The sequence below is a fragment of the Homo sapiens genome, chromosome 1, assembly GCF_000001405.40.
Source record: "Homo sapiens chromosome 1, GRCh38.p14 Primary Assembly".
Classification (NCBI taxonomy): Eukaryota; Metazoa; Chordata; class Mammalia; order Primates; family Hominidae; genus Homo; species Homo sapiens.
Window position 1 is genome coordinate 232360994 of NC_000001.11, and position 20525 is coordinate 232381518.

General features: G+C 42.6%; 2 long non-coding RNA genes across 2 annotated transcripts, besides 1 other annotated feature; one reads left to right on the forward strand and one right to left on the reverse strand.

Annotated features, from left to right (window-relative positions):
* Window positions 1–508: 508 nt before the first annotated feature.
* Window positions 509–8947, forward strand: LOC105373196 (uncharacterized). The gene is made up of 3 exons (XR_949273.2): window positions 509–641; window positions 6240–6378; window positions 8386–8947. It is a non-coding gene; the product is annotated as an uncharacterized LOC105373196 (long non-coding RNA).
* Window positions 8948–13584: 4637 nt separating this feature from the next.
* On the reverse strand, window positions 13585–17117 carry LOC105373198 (uncharacterized). The gene is made up of 6 exons (XR_949274.2): window positions 17081–17117; window positions 16206–16365; window positions 15605–15928; window positions 14521–14615; window positions 14292–14435; window positions 13585–13794 (listed from the first exon to the last, which is right to left on the reverse strand). It is a non-coding gene; the product is annotated as an uncharacterized LOC105373198 (long non-coding RNA).
* Window positions 18478–18979: an enhancer, noted in NCBI's record as "H3K4me1 hESC enhancer chr1:232515217-232515718 (GRCh37/hg19 assembly coordinates)". NCBI's record gives its function as "activates a minimal SCP1, AML or CMV promoter by ChIP-STARR-seq in naive H9 embryonic stem cells {active_cell/tissue: H9 hESC(naive)}" and the evidence as "EXISTENCE:reporter gene assay evidence [ECO:0000049][PMID:30033119]".

Consider the following 20525-nt stretch of genomic DNA (forward strand, 5'->3'; position numbering starts at 1 on the left):
GCTCATGTCTGCAAATAGGCAATAATTCATAATCAATCCACTAATTAAAGTTATACATGTTTGATTGTGGTGAACTAAAATAGTCTCCTTGGCTTAACCATGTCTCTTTAGAATTTTCTCACATTTATAAACAAGAGGGTGTGAATTATACAAGCCTCTCTATTAATAGTAGGAGCCAAGGCTCACTCAATATTTTAACAGATAACCGTTCTTTGCAGGAAGTACTAGAGTGCAATATTTCTCAATTTAGCCTGGATGGATAGATTCCCAGGGATCAGAATGTTTACAAATGCATTCTTTTAAATTTGTATTACCATTTTGCTAATACTATAAAAATATATGTATATTCTGAGATCATCAGTTCCTAACTACAGCCTGGTTTCTGTGTTTTCATTTGGTTTACAGTTTCTATACTAGCACAACATACCGATTTGTTTAACTCTACACCAGGCGATACCAGTCTACATATTTTTTAATGCATGTACTCATTTTATCTTCACAGGAACCCTACAAGGTAGATTCTATTAGCATATGTATTTTATAGATGAGGAAGCAGGCACAGAGACATCAAGTGTCATGCTTCATTTTACAAAGCTGGAACATGCTGGAGTCAGAACCCAACCAGGCAGTCTTGCTTCAGAGTAAGTAGCTCTTAACTACTTTGCTATTTTGCTCCTCCAACTGGTAGCACTTCACTTCTAATGTGGTATTTTACCAACTTGGCTCCACAGAATCTAGGAGATTCATGGAGTATGCTCAAGAATTATGGAAGGTTGTTTTTCTCAAAATAAATCTGTACATTTCTTAAGTTTTCAAAAGCATAGGCTTTGGAATAATATCATTTGGGGTCAAATCTAGAGAAGGTTCCTATTGGTAAAGTAACATAAGGGTTGTTTCTTTTCTGCTTCTGTTATAATGGGATATTGGTCTCCTTTGTGGGTTATTGTCAGAGTGTGATGACGCGACATATGTTCACTGCTTGGCATACCATATTCAGTGAGGTTGCTCCCTCTTCCTTTCCAATTCCCCATTCCCCATCTTCCTCTTGTCAGGTGGGTACAAGGTGTGTGCTAACAAAGGTAGCTAAACTGGTAGAACTACAAAGAGAAGCACAATCATTAGGTTCACTAATTACTGCTATCTGCCAAATAGACCATTTACTTAGAAGTGATACCATTCCGTATGTGGACTGGATCATTCAAAAGAGACAAATGTTTGTAGACAGATGCAGAGATGTGCTGAGAATAAAGACAAGAGAAAGAAAGAATATTATATTCTTCTGGCAGACAAAAGACAAATGATTCTAATTTTGATTCTGCCATAAACTTGTGCTGTGTTCTGGGACAAGTCTGAGCTTCCATTTTTATGCCTAAAATTAAGGAATTTTAGTAGATCAACAGTTTTAATTTTTTTTAGACATAGAATCATTTCATCAATAAAACATATACCCAAAAAAGCAAATTAGTTTCAGGAAGCATGACAACTTTGACCAATTCACAGTGACTCTCTGGGGCCTAATGTGGAGAAGGATTTTACAATGAGAGAAATCTGTGATTGATTAGCAATGTCTGCCAGGGTCACAAAAAGCAGACAGGCCTCCCTGTGAAGACCATCCTGTCCAGAAGACAAATATGATAAGCAGATATAGAGGAATATTTCAGGCTGAACCAGGAGAGATGCCTAAGCCTGGTTTACTCTCTTCAGCAAGCCATCCTACTATAGAAAATTCCCCCTAGCCTTTCTTAGTCTCTATGTTTCTAAATCTTGGAGGTAATATACTTTTTAAAAACTATCCAATAGCTAAGACCGTGAGAAGAATTTGATATATAATTACTAAAATTATTCCAATCAAACTCAGCAGATAAAGCAAGAGTAATATATTTTATATTGTCATTAGACCCAGCCACTACAATAACATTTTTGCCTAAAGCCTCATTTTAATTAAGAGACAAGAAATAAATTAGGCTTCCTAGAAACAGGGGTTAGTACCAGCTCATCATATTTGGCTGTGGGATATTTAGTCTTCTCTTAGAGACACCTGCTCCATGTAATTTACTGTCTTGTGGGATGTTTTAATAGCCTTTTTCTAAGGGATGAATAATGTCCCACTGTATTGTTCAGGAGCAAAAAATGGCCACAGCTGGGTGAGATGCTTAGCAACTTTTACTATGTCAAAGAGATTTTCCAAACTCAGCAATCTGAGGCGGTAGAAATTCATCATTGCATTCATCAGGTGCCTCAGTACCACATAGCACAGGGAATCTGCTCCAGCAGATAAAGAAACAACCCTCATTAAAGTCCTAGGGAGACATCTGCCTTAATGCCCACCAAGCCTCCGACACTTGGCACTCTCAGAACTCAGCACCAAGTTCCTTGCCCTGCATACAAAATGTTTGTTTAAGAGAACAAGAAAAAGATGAAAGGGAAGTAACACTTAATAGCTATACTCATAGTTGCAAATCATATTTTAAGAGAAAGTAAGGGAAACAAAGCCCACGGGTGAAGGACATTTAACAACATAAATGAATAGTTTATACATATACCTGAAACTTAACTTTAGAGAATGGCACTTCCTTCATTAAGTTATTTTCAATGTTTATCCTTAAAAAGTAGCTTCAGGCCGGGCATGGTGGCTCACACCTGTAATCCCAGCACTTTGGGAGGCCAAGGCGGGCGGATCATGAGGTCAGGAGTTTGAGAACAGACTGGCCACGATAGTGAAACCCCATTTCTTCTAAATATACAAAAAATTAGCAGGCATGGTGGCGGGCATCTATAATCCCAGCTACTTGAGAGGCTGAGGCAGGAGAATTGCTTGAACCTGGGAGGCAGATGTTGCAGCAAGCTGAGATCGCGCCACTACACACCAGCGGGTGTAACAGTGTGAGACTCCGTCTCAAAATAAAAAACAAAAAACGAAGTAGCTTCAAACCCATCAAACCACTTATCTGAGGTTTGTTAGACTGGAGAAATTTAACTATCTTATAAAAGTATCTGGGAACTTAAGATATTATTTTTTAAAAAGAGAGAAAGATTCTAACATTGGTGGTATCCTTCTTGAAAATTCAATATGTTGGGCAAGTCACTTCAACAAAACTGGGATTTTAGTATTTATCTATTAACTGAAATGTAGGCAATGGCAAAAAAAATGAGTTGAGGCCAGGTGCAGTGGTTCATACCTGTAATCCTAGCACTTTGGGAGACCAAGGTAGGTGGATCTCTTGAGGCCAGGAGTTTGAGATCAGCCTGTGCAACATAGTGAGACCCCTGTCTCTACAAAAAAAAAAAAAAAAAAAAAAAAAAAAAAAACAAGGCTGGACATGGCGTGGGTGCCTATAGTGCTAGCTACTCAAGAGGCTGAGGTGGGAGGATCACTTGAGCCCAGGAGTTTGAGGCTGCAGTGGGCTATGATTGTACCACTGCACTCCAGCCTTGGCAACAGAACAAGGCTCAGTCTCAAAAAAAAGAGAGAGAGTCAAAATATTTAAGTCAGTGTTTTCAAATATTTAGGTTACAAGAGTATAAGCGAAAGGTCCACAAGTATGTTGTGAAGACTAAAAATAGGCCTGCCTTATTCCTCCATGACAAGTAAATGCTGCTGCAGTTAAGCAGGTATGAAAGTCATCAGGGAACCCACGCTTCTGTGTCATGCATCTCCACAACCCAAGTGTTTGAACTCTTTCATCTGATGCATACATCTCATTTACTCAATCAGCATATAAAAAGATAACTCAGAGCCATCAGTCATGCGCAAATAAAAACCACTATGAAATGCCATTTTACACTCACTAAGATGGCTATAATAAAAAAAGACAATAACAAATGTTGGCCAGGATGTGACAAAATCAAAACCCTCATACAGTACTGGTAGGATTGTAAAATGGTGCAGCTGCTGTGAAAACCAGTCTGGCAGTTCCTCAAAATGAGGTTAAACATAGAGTTACCATATAACCCAGAAATTCCACTCATAGGCATATATATCCAAGAGAAGTAAAAATACATGTCCACAAGTACATGAATGCTCACAGCAGCATTATTCATAGTAGTCAAAAGCTGGAAACTACCCAAATGTTCATCAACTGAGGTATGGCTAAGTTAGAATATGGTATATCCATAAAATGCAATATTAGATGACAATAAAAATAAATGATGTTTACAAAAAGAAAAAAGGGAGTATCTATAGCAGGCCTGAACCTTGAACATATGCTAAATGAAAGAACCCGCTCATAAAGAACCATAGAGTGTATGATTCCATTTTTATGATATATCCAGAATAGGAAATCCATAGAGAAAAAAAGGAGAATAGTTATTGCCTAGAACCTGTGAGCCTGGGGAGAAATGGAGAATGAGTATGATAGCTATTGGGTACAGGGTTTCTTTCGGGGGTGATGAAATGTCCTAAAATTGAATATGTTGATGGTTGCACAAATCTGTGAATATAATACAAACCATTGAATTATACCTTTTAGATGGACGGAGTGTATGACATGTGAATTATATCTCCATAAAACTATAATAAAAGAAGAAATAACAAGGAAAAATCCCAGAATATTCATAGTCCAGATTAGCCAAATAGGACAATGAATCCATGCATCAAAAGAGAGAGAAGAAACATATTAATTCAGTATGTGGTAAAATTCGCATTTCCAATCAGCAGAAAAGTTATGAAATTATTTCATCGATTAGTTCAACACATTGTGACAGAAAAGTTGGCTACTCATCTGTGAAAGAAGAATAAAGTTAGATACTCTGCTCACATATATATAAAAACAAATTCCAAATTGGCCTAAGATGTAAATGGGCAAAATAATATAAGTTTTATAAAAATAAGCAAATAATCTTATAACTTTGGCATGCAGAAGTTCTTTCTAAACAAGAAGTAAGACCTAAATGTTCTAAAGGAAGTGGTAGACAATTGTGTTTACCTGAAAATCAAAACAATTTACGACAAAAATGTTATAAAGTTTAAAAATGAGCAAGACTATAAAAATATAGTCTTATATATTAGAAATATATAAGAAATATGTATTATATCTGTTATATAACATATATTCATAACATACAGAAAAAATTCTTAATGCACAAACTACAGAAGGAGTTCTTACAAGACCAAAAGTTAAAAAATAATCAATTTTATTATTGATTTTGCATATGCTTTTTAAGGGAAAAAGATATGAACAAGTAACAGATAAAGAAATTCATATGGCCAATAAACACTTGAAAATATACTAATGGAAATTCAATATAAGCAATATAATTTCTTTTTTATCTACTTGATTAACAAAAATTAAAAACATTGTAAACATCTAATGTTGGCAGGAAAAGACATTCACTCTCATTCGATGTTGGTAGAAGATAAATTGGTATATCCTTTTGGGATCAAAATTTGGCAGTGTCGGCCAGGCATGGTGGCTCATGCCTGTAATCCCAGCACTTTGGGAGGCCAAGGTGGGCAGATCACGAGATCAGGAGATTGAGACTATCCTGGCTAACATGGTGAAACCCCGTCTCTACTAAAAATACAAAGAATTAGCCGGGCGTGGTGGCAGGGGCCTCTAGTCCCAGCTACTCGGGAGGCTGAGGCAGAAGAATGGCGTGAACCCGGGAGGCGGAGCTTGCAGTGAGCCGAGATGGTGCCACTGCACTCCAGCCTGGGCGACAGAGCAAGACTCCGTCTCAAAAAAAAAAAAAAAAAAAAAGACAAAAAACAAAATTTGGCAGTGTTTATGTAATTTTATATTCATATGATCTTTGCAGTTCCAATTCAGGAAACTAACCTTAAAAAATACCTGCACAGGTGCACAAAAATTTAAGTAAACATTATTTATGGAAGCACTGTTTGTAATAGTAAGAAACTGGGAAAACCCCAAAAAGTCTGTTCCTGGGAGATTATCACCTGAACTGCAGGACAGTCCTACCATGCAATCGTATGCAATTGTTAAAATAATACACACTGACATAGAAAGACCTCCAAGATCTATTCTTAAGGAATAAAAAATAAGTCTCAAAATAATAAACATGGAAAGATCCCATTTATATAAGACTTGTATATAAATATAGATGATGATCCACAGACACCATTACTATGGGGCATGTGATGAAAGATGGAAAGTTCCTCTTATTCTACAGCTGTTTGGTGTTTTTCAATGAGTAGGTTTCTATGTATGATTTCATAAATTTTAATTGATGCTTAAAATGATAAAGGACACAGTGTAGATTAATTCTAAGTTCCTTTCCAGCTCTCCGCATCTATGACTCTGTAACCGTCAGTAGCTACTGCCTCCATCTGCTTTCATCACTGCAGAGGCAGACAACACCACCCTGCAAGATAGTCGACTTTCAGACTTGAAGCCACATCCATTCTGCTAAAATGCACAGGTGTTTAGCTCTGTTTCTTTAACCAATGACATGATCATATTACACTAAGCTTATCTTGGTGTCAAAAGCAAAGCTTGGGTTTGATGGCATGAATCAGGAGATGGCCAACAATGCGGTGCTTGAAGGCTGAAGAGAGTGCTGACTCAGAGTCTCCTTAGCTAGACTGACTGCAAAACTGAATACACAAGGGACTTGCAGAGAGGAAAACAGGGGCAGAGGAATGCAAGGTGCTCCGTGGTTTCCCCACCTGTCCTTTGACCCTTTGCTGTTTAGGAGAACAGGTGAGTTAGCAGAGAACCCAGGATGGCCGTCAGAGTGTTTGCTGTGTCTTAGGAAACAGACCCTGGATAGTCGTGCTCTGGTGAATAAACTGTTCAGTTATTTAAATTTATGGCTAAGCATGGTAGGATATCTTCTTCCAGTTTGGGTTGCAGCTATGGCGTCAGCAGAAATCTACGTAAGACTCAGAAAAACTGGGCCCAAAATGTACACAATCTTCGTTAGGAAATGTTGATGTAAAACAGCAGAAAATCTCTCAAGCTATAATTTCCAACAATTTGCAGTAAAAAAAAAATTCATCTATAAATATATACCATTTATATATAAATGATATATATTATTTTAATAATATATCTTTTATAATATGTATAAATTACTTATACATATTTTCTATTATATATAATATTTTGTATTATACATAATATACAATATATTTTCTATTATATATATTTTGTATTATATATAATATACAATATATTTTCTATTATATATAATATATTTTGTATTATATATATTACAATATATTTTGTATTATATAATATATAATACAATATATAATATATTGTATTATATATTATATAATACAATATATTATATATTGTATTATATATTATATATAATACTATATAATATATTGTATTATATATTATATATAATACTATATAATATATTTTATTATATATTATATATAATACAATATATAATATATTGTATTATAATACAATGTATTATAATGTATTATATTGTATTATATATTATATATAATACAATATATAATAATATATTATAATATATAATAATAATATAATATAATAATAATATATATTGTATTATATATTATATAATACAATATATAATATATTGTATTATATATATTTTATTACATATAATATATAATACATTATATAATATATTTTGTATTATATATAATATATTTTATTATGTATTATAGATAATATATTTTATTATATATTATATATAATACAATATATAATATATTTTGTATTGTATATAATATATAATACAATATATAATATATTGTATTATATATAATATTAATATATTTTGTATTATATATTTATATTTTATATTATAATTATGTTTTGCATTATATATTTCATATTATATATACCATATTTATATATGTCATATTTATATTATATAATAATATATAATATATATAACAGTAATATAATTATAGTTATAGCCACACAGAGAATAAAACTGGAACATGAAAGCTGGGAATTGGGACTTTCCCCTCTCCTTTCCCCTTCCTCTTGCTCCTCCTCTTTCTTCTCTCTTTCTGTCTCTCTGTCTCTCTCTCTCTCTCTAACACACACACATACCCCTCTTACTACTTCTCAAGGTCCAAATGTTATGTCCTTCACTTCCTCATGTTTACTTCTTCCTGCCTCCTGTCTGTCCATCCATCTATACATCTCTCTCTGTCTCTGTCTCTTTCTCTCTCACTCAGCTAGCTTCCCTCTCATTTTTACCTCTTCCTGCCTTCTGTCTGTCCATCCATACATCTCTCTCTCTGTCTCACTCAGCTGGCTTCCTCTGCGTTCAAAAGTCCAAAATGACCTTTATTTCAAATATGCACTGTTCTCTAACAACCTCATCTTTCGATATCCAAATGATAAACTAGAAAGACAAATGTCCAGTTGTGTCAGACCAGCCTAGGAGGTGGTTTCCTAGTTCTGATGGTTTGCTCTTCATCTTTAACAGAAAGAAAACCAGAAGAGAGACAGCAGCAAGAGCTGCAGGCGAGGCTGGGCATGGATTCCAGGGGAAGGAGATGACAGTGGGAGGAATGGCCATCATTCCAAAAGGGCTGGATTGCACAGCAGGGCAGCATCGCAAGAGTAGGAAGGGCTGTTCAACAATGTGGCCTCCCCTGCAAGAGTCACACCTGTTATTCAGCCTCTGCTTCAGCGTTCCAGAGAGGAGGCTCCCTGCTGCGGCAAATCCCAATGCTGGACAGCTCTGAGCAGATGATGGTTCTTCTTGGTGTTGGTTCTGAACCCTGCCCCTCTATGTCCACCAGCCTTTCATTCTAGAAGACACAACCGTCAACTCTGGGAAGACTCGGCAGGGGGCATATTTCTGAAAGTTCTATTTCCACAGATGGTGTGAAATCAGCAAAGGAAAATGCTGCTTCTGTCCAGACAGCTCTTCCACTCTTTATTCTCACTCTATGAGTCACTGGGTTGACTGTTGATTTCGTTGCTGAACTGGGATTCCTTAACTTGCGCATTCATTTATTCAATAAATATTTGTTTCATGTTTACAAAATAGTAAGTACTACACTCAACACTGGGCCTTCAGTGTGACAAGAGGCATAGTCTCTGTCCTCAGGGACCTTGTGGCTTAATGGGATATTATAAAAATAGTCACACAGTGATTATCACCGTGATGAAAGTGCTGTGGGAGAAAATACAGGGAGCTATGTGATTGTAGCAGACCAGCCTGGCCTGGGTGATGAGGAATGTCTCTTCTTGGGAAGTGACACAGAAGCTGGAGGACAGGAGCACGAGAGATCAGTCCAAGTGGGCAGTGACGCTACATCATCAGAGCAAGGAGCACCCGCAAGTCCAGGAGGCAGGAGGGCCTCTGACCAGGTTGAGAAACAAAGAGGACACCAGCCTGGCTGTGGGTTTAGTGAGCAGCGCAGATTGCAGAGGGCGAGGAGGTTGCAATCACAGCATCAGAGCATGACCCGAAGAACAAAGGAGAGACATTTAAAGATTTAAAGCAGGCCAGTGACATTACCATGTTTTTATTTTTAAAAGATTACTCTGCTGGGTGTGGTGGCTCACACCTTTAATTCTGGCACTTTGGGAGGCCAAGGCGAAAGGATCACTTGAGCTAAGAGTTCAAGACCAGCCTGGGCAACATGGAGAAAGCCCGTCTCTACCAAACAAAATACAAAAAAAACGGTTAGCCAGGTATGGTGATCCACACCTGTAATCCCAGCTATTGGGGGAGGCTGAGGCAAGAAAACCACCTGAACCCGGGGGTGGAGGTTGCAGTGAGCCAAGATCGTGCCACTTCACTCCAGCCTGGGCAACAGAGTGAGATGCTGTCTTAAAAAAAATAAAAATAAAATAAATTACTCCGTCTGCTCTATAGACAGTAGGTCAGGGGAAAGGAAGAGTGAATGGGGAGAAACCAGGTAGGAAGTACCTTTAAACTCCAAAAGACAGACCGTGGCAATTTGGACTAGAGTGGGAAAGTTGGGCAGCAGATTTGGAAAGAAACTGACACATTTTAAGTCTATTTTAGGCAGAATTAGAAGACTCTGTGATTATATGGAAGGGAGTATGAGAGGTGATTCTTTGCAAGACATATTTATGGAAATGGAGAGCCATAGCACTGGAGAAAGGTAGTGACTTCAGTGTGCCATCCAGTACGTAAACGACTCACAGACATCCAAATGGAGACGTCAGGACTCTAAATGGGGAAAATGCTGAAGGCCAACGTCTGGAGCACAGTCACGCATCACTTAATGACAAGAATATATTCTGAGAGATGTATCATTAAGTGATTCTGTTACTGTGTGAGCATCATAGAGTGTACTTGCCCAAGCCAAGATGGTATAAGCTGATGCACACCTAGGCTGTGTGGTACAGCCTATTGCTCCTAAGCTACACATCTTTGCAGCACATTACTGTACGGAATACTGCAGGCAATTGTAGCACAATGGTATTTGTGTATCTAAACATAGGTAAGGTACAGTAAAAATATGGTATTACAATCTTATAGAACCATCATCATATACGGGGTCCATCACTGACCAAAACGTTATGTGACGCACAACTGTCATTCTAAATAGAATCTTCTGGGCATCCATTATCTAATTCCTCAAAAGCAAACTGTCTTCTATCAAGACTCTCATAGCAAGTCTAGTTCTTTGCTCTTTTGTAACCAGGGAAATGTGATCATCAAAACACAAACCAACATTTTGTGAAGAAAGGATCTTGAATAAATACGTGTATCTTTGGTGTTTTTTGAAATCGAGACAGTGTCACAACTCAGCCATCATTTTTCACCCTGACACGACAATTTGATTATACTTTCCTCCCTGCTCATCTTTTTGTTTGTTGTAATCTCTCCACATGAGCAAGTTGATGAGCCTATCGAGGGAGTATGTGGTCGTTGTGTGATAGCTTCAGCAGGACACACTTACAATTAGGGCCCAATCTAGGAATTATGATGCGTGCAAGCATTGCTCTGATAATAAATAGTACATGACACTTGCAAAAATAGTTGACCAGAAACCATCTGCTCAGAGCCGCAGTGGAGCAGAAGCCCAGGGCGAGGGGCGGTCCTCAGAGCATGCGCCTGTTGGCCGAGGAACCCAAAGCCCTTGGAGGCAGAGCAGAAAGGACAAAAACAGGACAGGACAGAGGCAGGCATGAGTTCAAGCCTTCTGAATTCCAGATCACTTACCTTGTACACCCCAGCCCCTCCTTTCACTTCATCAAAGCCCAAAAATGAGCTTCCCTCTGTTCAGCAGCCAATCTTGAGGGTCTAAGAACACCCTGGAGTTGGTTCAACCTGCAGATTCCCACCTTTTCGTCACCCGCGGGATGCTTGGAGTCAGCCACCTGGGGTGCGCTGGGGAGTCTGCACTCACAATGACTGAAGGTGATTTGGATGCAGTTGATTCTCAGATGTTTGGTCTCGACTTGAGCATCTATTTTTCCTTTGTGATGCTAGTTTTGACTGACTGCCAAGATTTAGATGAGCTGTCAAATTCTCTCAGGCCCCCGCTCCTCGGTGCCCCCGTTTACCCCTTTTAATTGATTGGTCTGAAGGTCCCTGGCCTATGGAAACTTTTGACTCGTCTTTATCCAAGCTCTGACAGGCCTCTCTGTGGGATGAGCAGCTTCTCCAAATGGCCGCAGATCTTTGTTTAGGTGCACCCAGGCTGCTGCAAGTGAACCTACAGCCGCGGCGGGGGGCATGGGGGCTGGGCCGTAGGCCAGCTTCACAGGGACAGTGGAACTCAGAAGGGGGCTTCCAAGACCACCTGCTAGTAAGGGTGGACATCGGGGCAGAAGTGTGACTGCAGGTGGAGGCCGGGGCGGGACAGGAGGTGGGCTGGGGTGTCAGTTGGTACAGGGCGGATGGCTCCCTCCCCCTAGACTTTCTGCAGGGGGCACCCTGTCCTTCGACGCTCCATGACTTTACCCAGTGACTCCATTACTGCGCCCCACTGACGACAGCATTGACTCATCGCAGAGACAAAGTAGCTTCTGTTTTGAGTCTCCAGTTTGTGCTGCACAGCCTGGGGGAGAAGCTTTCCAGTCACCTGGGGAGATCGCACGTTGCCTCTGGCCCAGGGTTGGCCTTGATGTTGTTGCTGGAAGACAAAAGGGCCTTCCGCGACACAGGGGCCAGTGGAGAGCCGTGGTCAGCTTCCGTTCTGGCTCTGGATTTCTAAGTCCTTTCATTGCTCTTCTCTGGAAAGAGTGACTGTTCTGGGGACATCTGCGTGTCTGAGGTTTTTCCTGCTAGTCAGACTTTCATTTGGAAATGTCAGCTGGAGCAACTTCCAGGTGCAAGAGTCTGGTTCCCAGGCTGGCTTCTCCCTGGGTGCCTGGGCGTCTGCCTGTGTCTCAGGCACACACAGCTCTGGACATACAGAGGAAACAGCAGGAACTGGCTTCTGTGCATCAATCAGATCCAAACCCTGGTGTAGAGGAAAGGCCACATCCAGGCAGAGAGGACAGGGGCAGGCAGGCAGTCATGCAGACTAGTCCCCTCAAAGTGCTATTGGGCTGGTGAATGGGCCAGTTGACCACCATCTGAAGTCTGGCCCCCATCTTGCTGCTTCAGGGACCAAAAGCCCTTTGGACTGGTGATGTTGACTCACCCTAGCAAAACTCACTAGAAAATAAGAACGGTGTTTTCTTTTTCTTTTCTTTTTTTTTTAGAATGAGAAATTTAACTGTCAGGTGGACCAGATGTTCACATCGGCCTGACACTTTCCCTCCCTGTGGGCAAGCTATATGGGGAGCTAAATACGGAAATGCCTTTTGGAGGGAATGGAACTAGAGAACAGAGAGCTATGTTTTAAGGGAACCTGGGATTTGTTTTACTTAGGGATGGTGAGACACACAGAAATGGAAATGACTGTCATGAAGGAAAAAGTTCATACTCACAGGTCCTTAGAAACAGGAAACACAGCACGCAGGGCCAAGCGGGAAGCACCAGGGTCGGTCCGAAAGCAGAGCAGGAAGGAGGGAAGTGTGAGCGGGAGCCTTTATTGTTGTTTCCAAGGGAAGGAGAGGGTAAGACAACGTAAGCTGGCTTAGGATGGGCTAGTTTGAATATTTCAGGACTCTGGGTTGTAGGAGCTGTTCCTGGTTGTCTGGTACCTGGCCCTGGGATGATTAGGGTAGGGGATAGTGGTCCACAGTGTGAGAGCCCCACAGAGGGGGTGGTTGGGAGTGTGGGCTCTGGATGGGTTGGTTTGTATTTGAAAGGCATGATTGTGGGTGAGTTGTTATCTATCCCCAGAAATTGACGAACCCTAAAAGGGGCAGTCCCTCCAGGATCAGCAAGAACCCCAGATGTCAAAGCATCAAAAATACAGAATAAAAAGACACAAGGGATTCATACAATACATAACTTCTGTATTTATATGCATATATGAAAGATTTGAATGTTAAAAGAGTCAATGAGTTCATTCCACAAACACTCATCAAATACCTACATTGCATGAGGCCCTGTGAACAAGTTAGATACATTGTTCCTGCTTTCTTGGAGCTCAGAGTTTAGCATCAGTCTCCAAAATCCCAGGAAGTCTCACCTTCAAAATAAGGATATACCTGACAGGTGGATCAGACGCACTGTTGCCAAGCAGAGCCCTTCCTGATGAGCACTGCCCATGTGTGACTGTCTCTCCTTCCTCCAGCTTTCCATTCTCGTTCATCCATTTCTGAAGGACATAGTCCTTGCTTACATGGGTTGATACAACCAATTAAGTCGTAGACCACCCTTTCTGGCCTGGTAGGCTTTCGAGTTCTTTGAGTGACTTTCCTATCTCAGTTCTGATCGGTCTTGCGCCAATTTCATGGTTTCAAGGACATTTTTACAAGAACTGTCTTCAGGCTGGTTTCACACATCCTAAGAAAGAAAAATTGGGAAACTGATTGCAATGTATGGTTTCTTAGGTGAAGATGTCGCAGAATCACACCGATTCCCACTGTCCCAGGGAGTAAATCCTCATCACTCTCCCCAAGTATGGCTTTCTGAGGGTACAAGAGAGAGACACTGGAATAAAATCTCCATCTCCAGCCACTGTGGATTTGGAGCCTATCCCGGGGAGGCTGTGTGTCTTCAAGAACCTCTGACAGACACATTTTTTATATACACAGCCCCATTATCTAAAGAGAGGGCCAACATTAGCACAGTGCAATATGAAGATTATTTTAGCCTTTGTCATCTCACAGATCCAGTTCTACAAGGTGGTTTTTAGGTATTTTGTAGCTCAAAATACAGTTTTCCCTAAGAACACTGTTATAAAATATGGGCTCCCAGGCTGGTTCCCCAGAAACTACTTTACTTTCCCAAGGAAATCCAAATTTGGAGGTGAGAATCTTAAGCAAGAAGTATGCAATTACCTGAGATGAAAATCCCAGTACAGAGCCAAGCAGCCAGGGGAGTGAGGCCATCAGTACAGAAACATCCAGGACCACATCAGGGAAGGCCCCTGGATCACACAGTGAGGAGGTGTCACCACGTGCCACTATCTGCAAACTGGGAGTCTGATGATGTAAAAACATGAAACACGGGTATCTTCCATGGGGCCAGTCCTACCACAAGGAGGCAAGTCTTGTTTTTAGCACTTACCATCAATATTCCCCATCAGCATCACAGTATTCTTCCCTGGGCTCTCCACTCCCTGCTAAATATCCGTTATCGTGTCAGCTAGGATTGCATTTGGGCTGTACAAGACAGAAAATCTCAGATAAGCTTAAATAACACAATAAGACTTCTTTCTCCCCCATGTAAAAAAGCAATTATCGTGGCCAGAAGTGCAGAGCAATCATGGTTCCAGGAAATCCACCAGCCCCCAGACTCCTCTTCTATCCAGAGCTTGCGACCCTCGTTCCCATCTTCCAGGGAAGTCACCGCAGCTCTGGCCATCAGCAGGGTGCCCTGGGCAGCAGGAGGAGTGGCAAGAACAAAGGTACCCTCTTCTCCCAGGTGGTCCACTCTTTCTATTTATGTCTCATTGGCCACAACTAACAACAAGAGAACGTTGGAGATAATCTTTTAGCTGAGCACCTTGTCCACCAAGTCCAATTAGGGCTCTGTCACTTAGGAGGAAGGAGAGAATGGTTGTTGATGTGGACAACCAGTAGTCTCTGCCACAGGGAACATGTGAGTACGATTTCTTATGTTGGCCGGGTGTGGTGGCTCACATCTCTCATCCCAGCACTTTGGGAGGCCGAGGCAGGTGGATCACGAGGTCAGGAGTTCAAGACCAGCCTGGCCAAGAGGTGAAATCCCGTCTCTACTAAAAATATAAAAATTAGCCGGGTGTTGGTGGCAGGTGCCTGTAATCCCAGCTACTTGGGAGGCTGAGGCAGAGAACTGCTTGAACCTGGGAGACAGAGGTTGCAGTGATCCAAGATCGTGCCATTGCACTCCAGCCTGGGCGACAGAGCGAGACTCCGTCTCAAAAAAAAAGAAAAAAATTATTATGTTAATGTCATCAGCCACAGCTGGGGTAAGAGTAACAGCTACCATTTATTACTTACTCTGCTTGTACAGGGTACAAAACTAAGCATTTCAAATACATTCTTTTTTAATTCTCATAGGGATTCTATGAATCAGGCAATTATGATCCCAGGTTAGTGATGTGGAAACTGGGGCCCATAGTACACACCAGTAGATGGTAGAGCTGGGATGTGAATTCCGTGAATCTCACCTTCTCTGAGACCTGTGAATATCTATAACTGTGATGGCGGCAGCCATTGTGTTTCCCAAGATTCGGGCCTGCCTGTGCAGGACGGGGGCTGTCGTGGCTGGTGGCAGGAGATGTGCGAGCTTCCTATGGCTGAACGTGGGCGTCACCTTGTTCCACCCTTGACTGGAGCTTGCCTTCCTGCCGGGGCAGGGCTCAGTGGAGAATCTGACTCTCTGCAATCCCCTTGCCATGGTTTGGCTCTCATGGGCTCACATGGTGCCAGCTTGTCAATCCTGTTTTCTTTCTGTGTCTGCCATTGGTGGTTCCAATTACATCGTTCTTGTCCTGGGCAGAGAAAAGGACACGAACAGCAGCCCCTGCCAAATTAGAAATGTGCTGCTTTGCTAGCAGAGGTCATAGATCAGAGCCAAAAATGGTGAACAGGAAACGGAGCTGGGGTGGAGACCAGGAGGGGAGCCCATAGACGGGGGATGCCACGTCTTTGGTTATAATGTTCACACACCAGCACAACACCTAGTGAGGGAGTCCAAGGTGGTGTTGGAGGTGACCTAATCCAACATCAGCCCTGGCCAATGGGTGAAATTATTATGACTATACCTACCTTGCAGACAGGAGCCTCAGATCAAAGAGATGCAGTCACTTACAGAAATCCATTCAAGTTAAAACGTGTGGGCTGGATTATTTCTACCACTCCAGAGATCAGGAGCAAGATCCGGAGTGAGGATCAGAGCCAAGCCTGGGGTCATAGAGGCGCAAACCCACTAGTGCAGCAAAGTAGAAACCAACAGAGAAGGTCAGTTCACAAGTTGGTTTACCTCTGTATTCTCCAGAATACCCAGCCCAGGCCTAGGCACTTAGAATACAATGGATATTGTGTTCTAATCACACCATTTTTCTGTGACCTTTGGCTTCACTGAGCTTTCACTGATCTTCATTGCCAAATGGAAAAGGAGTGAGTCAGCCTTCCTTTCCCGCCCACCGCCCCGACAATGTTAACACAATGATCCTAAGAGACTCAAATAAAAGCTATGAGCCTGCTGGGAAATTATACCCAATGAGCTCTTACAACTGGCCAGACATTTGAAATACAGTCTCTAATTTCATCCTCAGCAGAACATCATGAATTTTATATGATTATATAAACTTTACCAATGAAGGGCCAGTAGCTCTGAAAGGTTAAGCAATTTGTCTAAAGACACATAGCAGAATTCGACTCAAAATAGTTTTTACACTAAAGTCCACATATTTCTCTTTTTTCCTCTTTCCCTTATTATTATTTTCCTTATTATTATTAAAATAATAATGCTAAAATAATAGCATTATTATTTTAGTTCACAACAAACCTTGACTGAGCATCTAGCATATTCTAAGCACTGTAGATACAGTGGTCAATAAGATACAATCCCTCCCCTTAAAATAAGATTGCTTATGGATTCATGCAAAGAAGAATAGCTTGCGCAGGGCGTGGTGACTCACATTTGTAGTCCCAGCCCTTTGGGATACCCGGGGGGAGGATTGCTTGAGTCCAGGAGTTCAAGGCTGCAGTGAGCTATGATGGTTCCACTGCACTCCAGCCTGGGTGACAGAGTGAGACCCTGTCTCAAAAAAAAAAAAAAAATAGTTTAAGTAAACATGATACAGTTTTATGAGTGCTGGCCAATGTGTGATCAAGCATGACGGTCTCTGGAAGTTCTCCCTTCACTAAAGGGAGAACTTACAAGACCCATGAGTAAAAACAAGCAGCAAATCCCCGTGCCTCTTGTAGGGTGCAGGGCCAGTTTACAGGCTGGATTTTGCAGACAGAAGGTTGATCTGAAGTGAATATGTTTGCACAGTTGCCTTGGAAAGGTGCCTGGGGCACTGGCTCTGCCCGGAGCTGGCTGGTGGAAGGAAGAGCGTGCACAAGCTCCCTGTCCCTTCCTTTCCACAGCCTCTGCTGTCTTGTCAAACCACACAGCCAGCCTGTGAGGAGGACGGGGGGACACATCAGGGAGCCTGAGGCCTCACCTGAGGGCCCGCTGCTCCTGCTAACCCGAGTCAGGTACACTTGGCCTGCACAGCCTCTGAAACCTGAGAACTGCAAAGTCAAAGCAGCTTATGTCGAGAAGATTCCTTTTTGCTTCTCAAAGGAATAGCAGGGCTGTCTTTGACTCCTCTGTTGGGCTCCAGGCCCAAGGGTGAGGCCCAGCTCCTTCAGGGACCAGGCAGGGGGCTGTCTGTGGGAACCACTTTTCCAGAGGCCCTGCTGGGCTTCCCAGGGAAGGCAGCCTACCTGAGTGCTCCCAGGAGCCGGCATTTACTCCCAGCCAGGGCCTGGTAGGGAGGGGCGACAGTATCTGTGCAGTTGTTATTCCTTGAGGCATTTCCCATCGTTTCAAACGTTACCCAGGGTGTTCTTTTACAGAACAAATAGCAACTGGTCTCATACGTGAGCTGGGGAGGGCAGTTGAGAAGGAAATCTGAGTCAGGGTTTTAGCTCACAAAATTAAACTGGAAGAAATCATCAGCTTGTTGCCAAGCCATTTTATCGAGCCCAAGACCTAGTTGCTAAGTGGCCGGACCCATGGAGCTTTGCCACCTCCTCTCCCCGCTCCTCCCTCTTTATGCAGTGGCCACTCTCACGACCCCTCAGAGCTCCGTGGAGACTCTGACAACAAGGAAGTCAACTCCCAGCCTGGGAATGAGCACTGGGGAGAGGGGGTAGCGGGGAGGGTTGTAGGAGACAATGTACAGCCAGGAGGGACGCACAGGACAAACCAGATAGTACCAAGGGGATGGTCATTCCATCTCCCAGCTGCCCAGGCTGACTCTGCAATGTGGGAGGCTCCTAGGGACAGCTGCACTCTTGTAGGGGCTGGGACCTTGGAGAGTTGGGCTCCGTTTGCCCCTCTCAGCCTTGCTTTTGGAAGATTGTTCCCTTTTTCAGACTTGGCCACATTCATCTGTCCCAGGGGCCAGCCATGTCTTTAGGTGGATGAACAAGACCTTGAAAGGGAACCACTTTGAAGGGAAGAAGAAACGGCCAATTTCGAGCCATCAATAGGACAACAATTGGCTTGCAAAAGTTCCAAATATTTATTAGTTGGCACATAGAGGGAGAGGCAGGCACCCAGGGCATTGTGGTGAGATTCACAGTTCCTTCCTGGAGGAGAAAGTGGATCTGTCATGGTAAACAGCAGGGTCAGCCTTTTGGCCATGTAACCACTGCAACAGCACAGGGGTTTCATGCCGTGTGGTTGCAGGCCTGCAATTCGTAATGATTGTCGTTTAGGACCTGTGTTTTGTGAGTGAAAGCTCATGGAACCGTGCAGCATGCACAGGGGCTTGCTTGGCCCCCTGTGGTCCTTCTGCTGCTGCCTCCCTGGGATGCCTCCTCTGGTGCTGGCTCCCCTGTTCCCTGGCACCATGTCCCATTTGGCTTCCCTTTTCCCCTCTCTCCCAGCAACCTTGGCCATCTTCCTGCCCAGTGGGGGCCTGAGGCAGGTGTGGGGACAGGAAAGGCTGGCAGACATGTTCCATATACCTTGGCCCAGGACATGGAGGTGTCTGTCCCCAGTTCAAGATGGTAGCTGCTGGTGACCCAGCACAGGGAAGCTTCTGGTTTACCCCTTATCCAGAAAGTGATCTTGGTCTTGGCCCACAGGTGTCATCCCTTGGGAGGAACCATGAACTGGAGTTCTGGTCCTATGGGAAGGGGAGAGTTCCTGCCTTGCCCCAGCTCAGGGATGGTACGTCAATGTGATGGCTGGGAGAAGGGCGCCCCCTCCTAGTAGCAGGATGGGGTCCACAGGAGCCTGAGATGATCTGTGCCCACAGGGCGACATCCCTGTCTCCATGAAGAAGATTTTAATGTCTTCTAATGTCTTAATTGGCTATTTAATAGCCAATTAAAAAAAAACCACCATGGCAAGTAAAGAGAAAAAGAGAGAGACAGAGGGAGAGAGGAAATGATCTGTATCGTAGTATCTATAACAGCACTCATTTTCTGCTTTTTGAGCAAGGAGCCCTGAATTTTCACTTCACACTGGGCTACAAATTATGCAGCTGGCCCTGGTGAGCACGGCCTTGGGGACCTTGACCAACAAAGCTGGCCTTGCCACTTCATCTTATTCTCTTTTAACAAAATGGTTATAGTCAAACTATGCACTCAGAGCAGCAGCCAGCCAACCCTGGTGACTGACCTGGTGCCTAGTGGAAAGCACAGACACGCTTCCTTCCCAGATTTAGTCCTGTCTCCAGAAGTTGCCTGGGAGATGCTTCAGGGAGCAGAAACACTGCAGTGAACATTGGCCAATGGCTTCTTTCAAGATGATCATTTCAAGTCGAGACCCTGATTTTGCTTTCTGAATGGAGGTTGGTAGAGAGGCAAAGGGCTAAACTCCTTCAAGTAGTGGGTAAGAAGGTTCTACACCAACTGCCTGAGCTCAGCCACGGTGGAGCGGGGAGGCACCCATCATGGGCCAGAATCAAGCACAACTCTTACTTGTAATATCTCCTGGATTATCAGCAGCAGTGGAAGACGAGGGAGTAGGGGAGACAGAGTAGATAAACAATGCTTTGATCTGAGTCCATAAAAATGCATGGAATCTTTCAGGCTGAACTTCTTTCCTTTCTTTCTCTTTTAATGGACCTCAGGTGCACAGCATTGACTTGACCACACTCCTACATTCAAAGCAAACTTAGACCCATGAAAAGCCCTTCTTTTGCCTTCTTTTATTTTACTTTTCTCCTCTTTAGTTCTAACCCTCCACCCCACACACCCCACCCCACCCACCCTTCGGCACTTTGCCACATTCATGAGGTGGCTATCATCCATCCCCTCATGTATGAATTTATACATATTTATATTTACAGAAAATATGCTTTGTTCTTTTGTGGTTTGTTGTTTCAAATAATGTCAACATAGCATTACAATATCAAT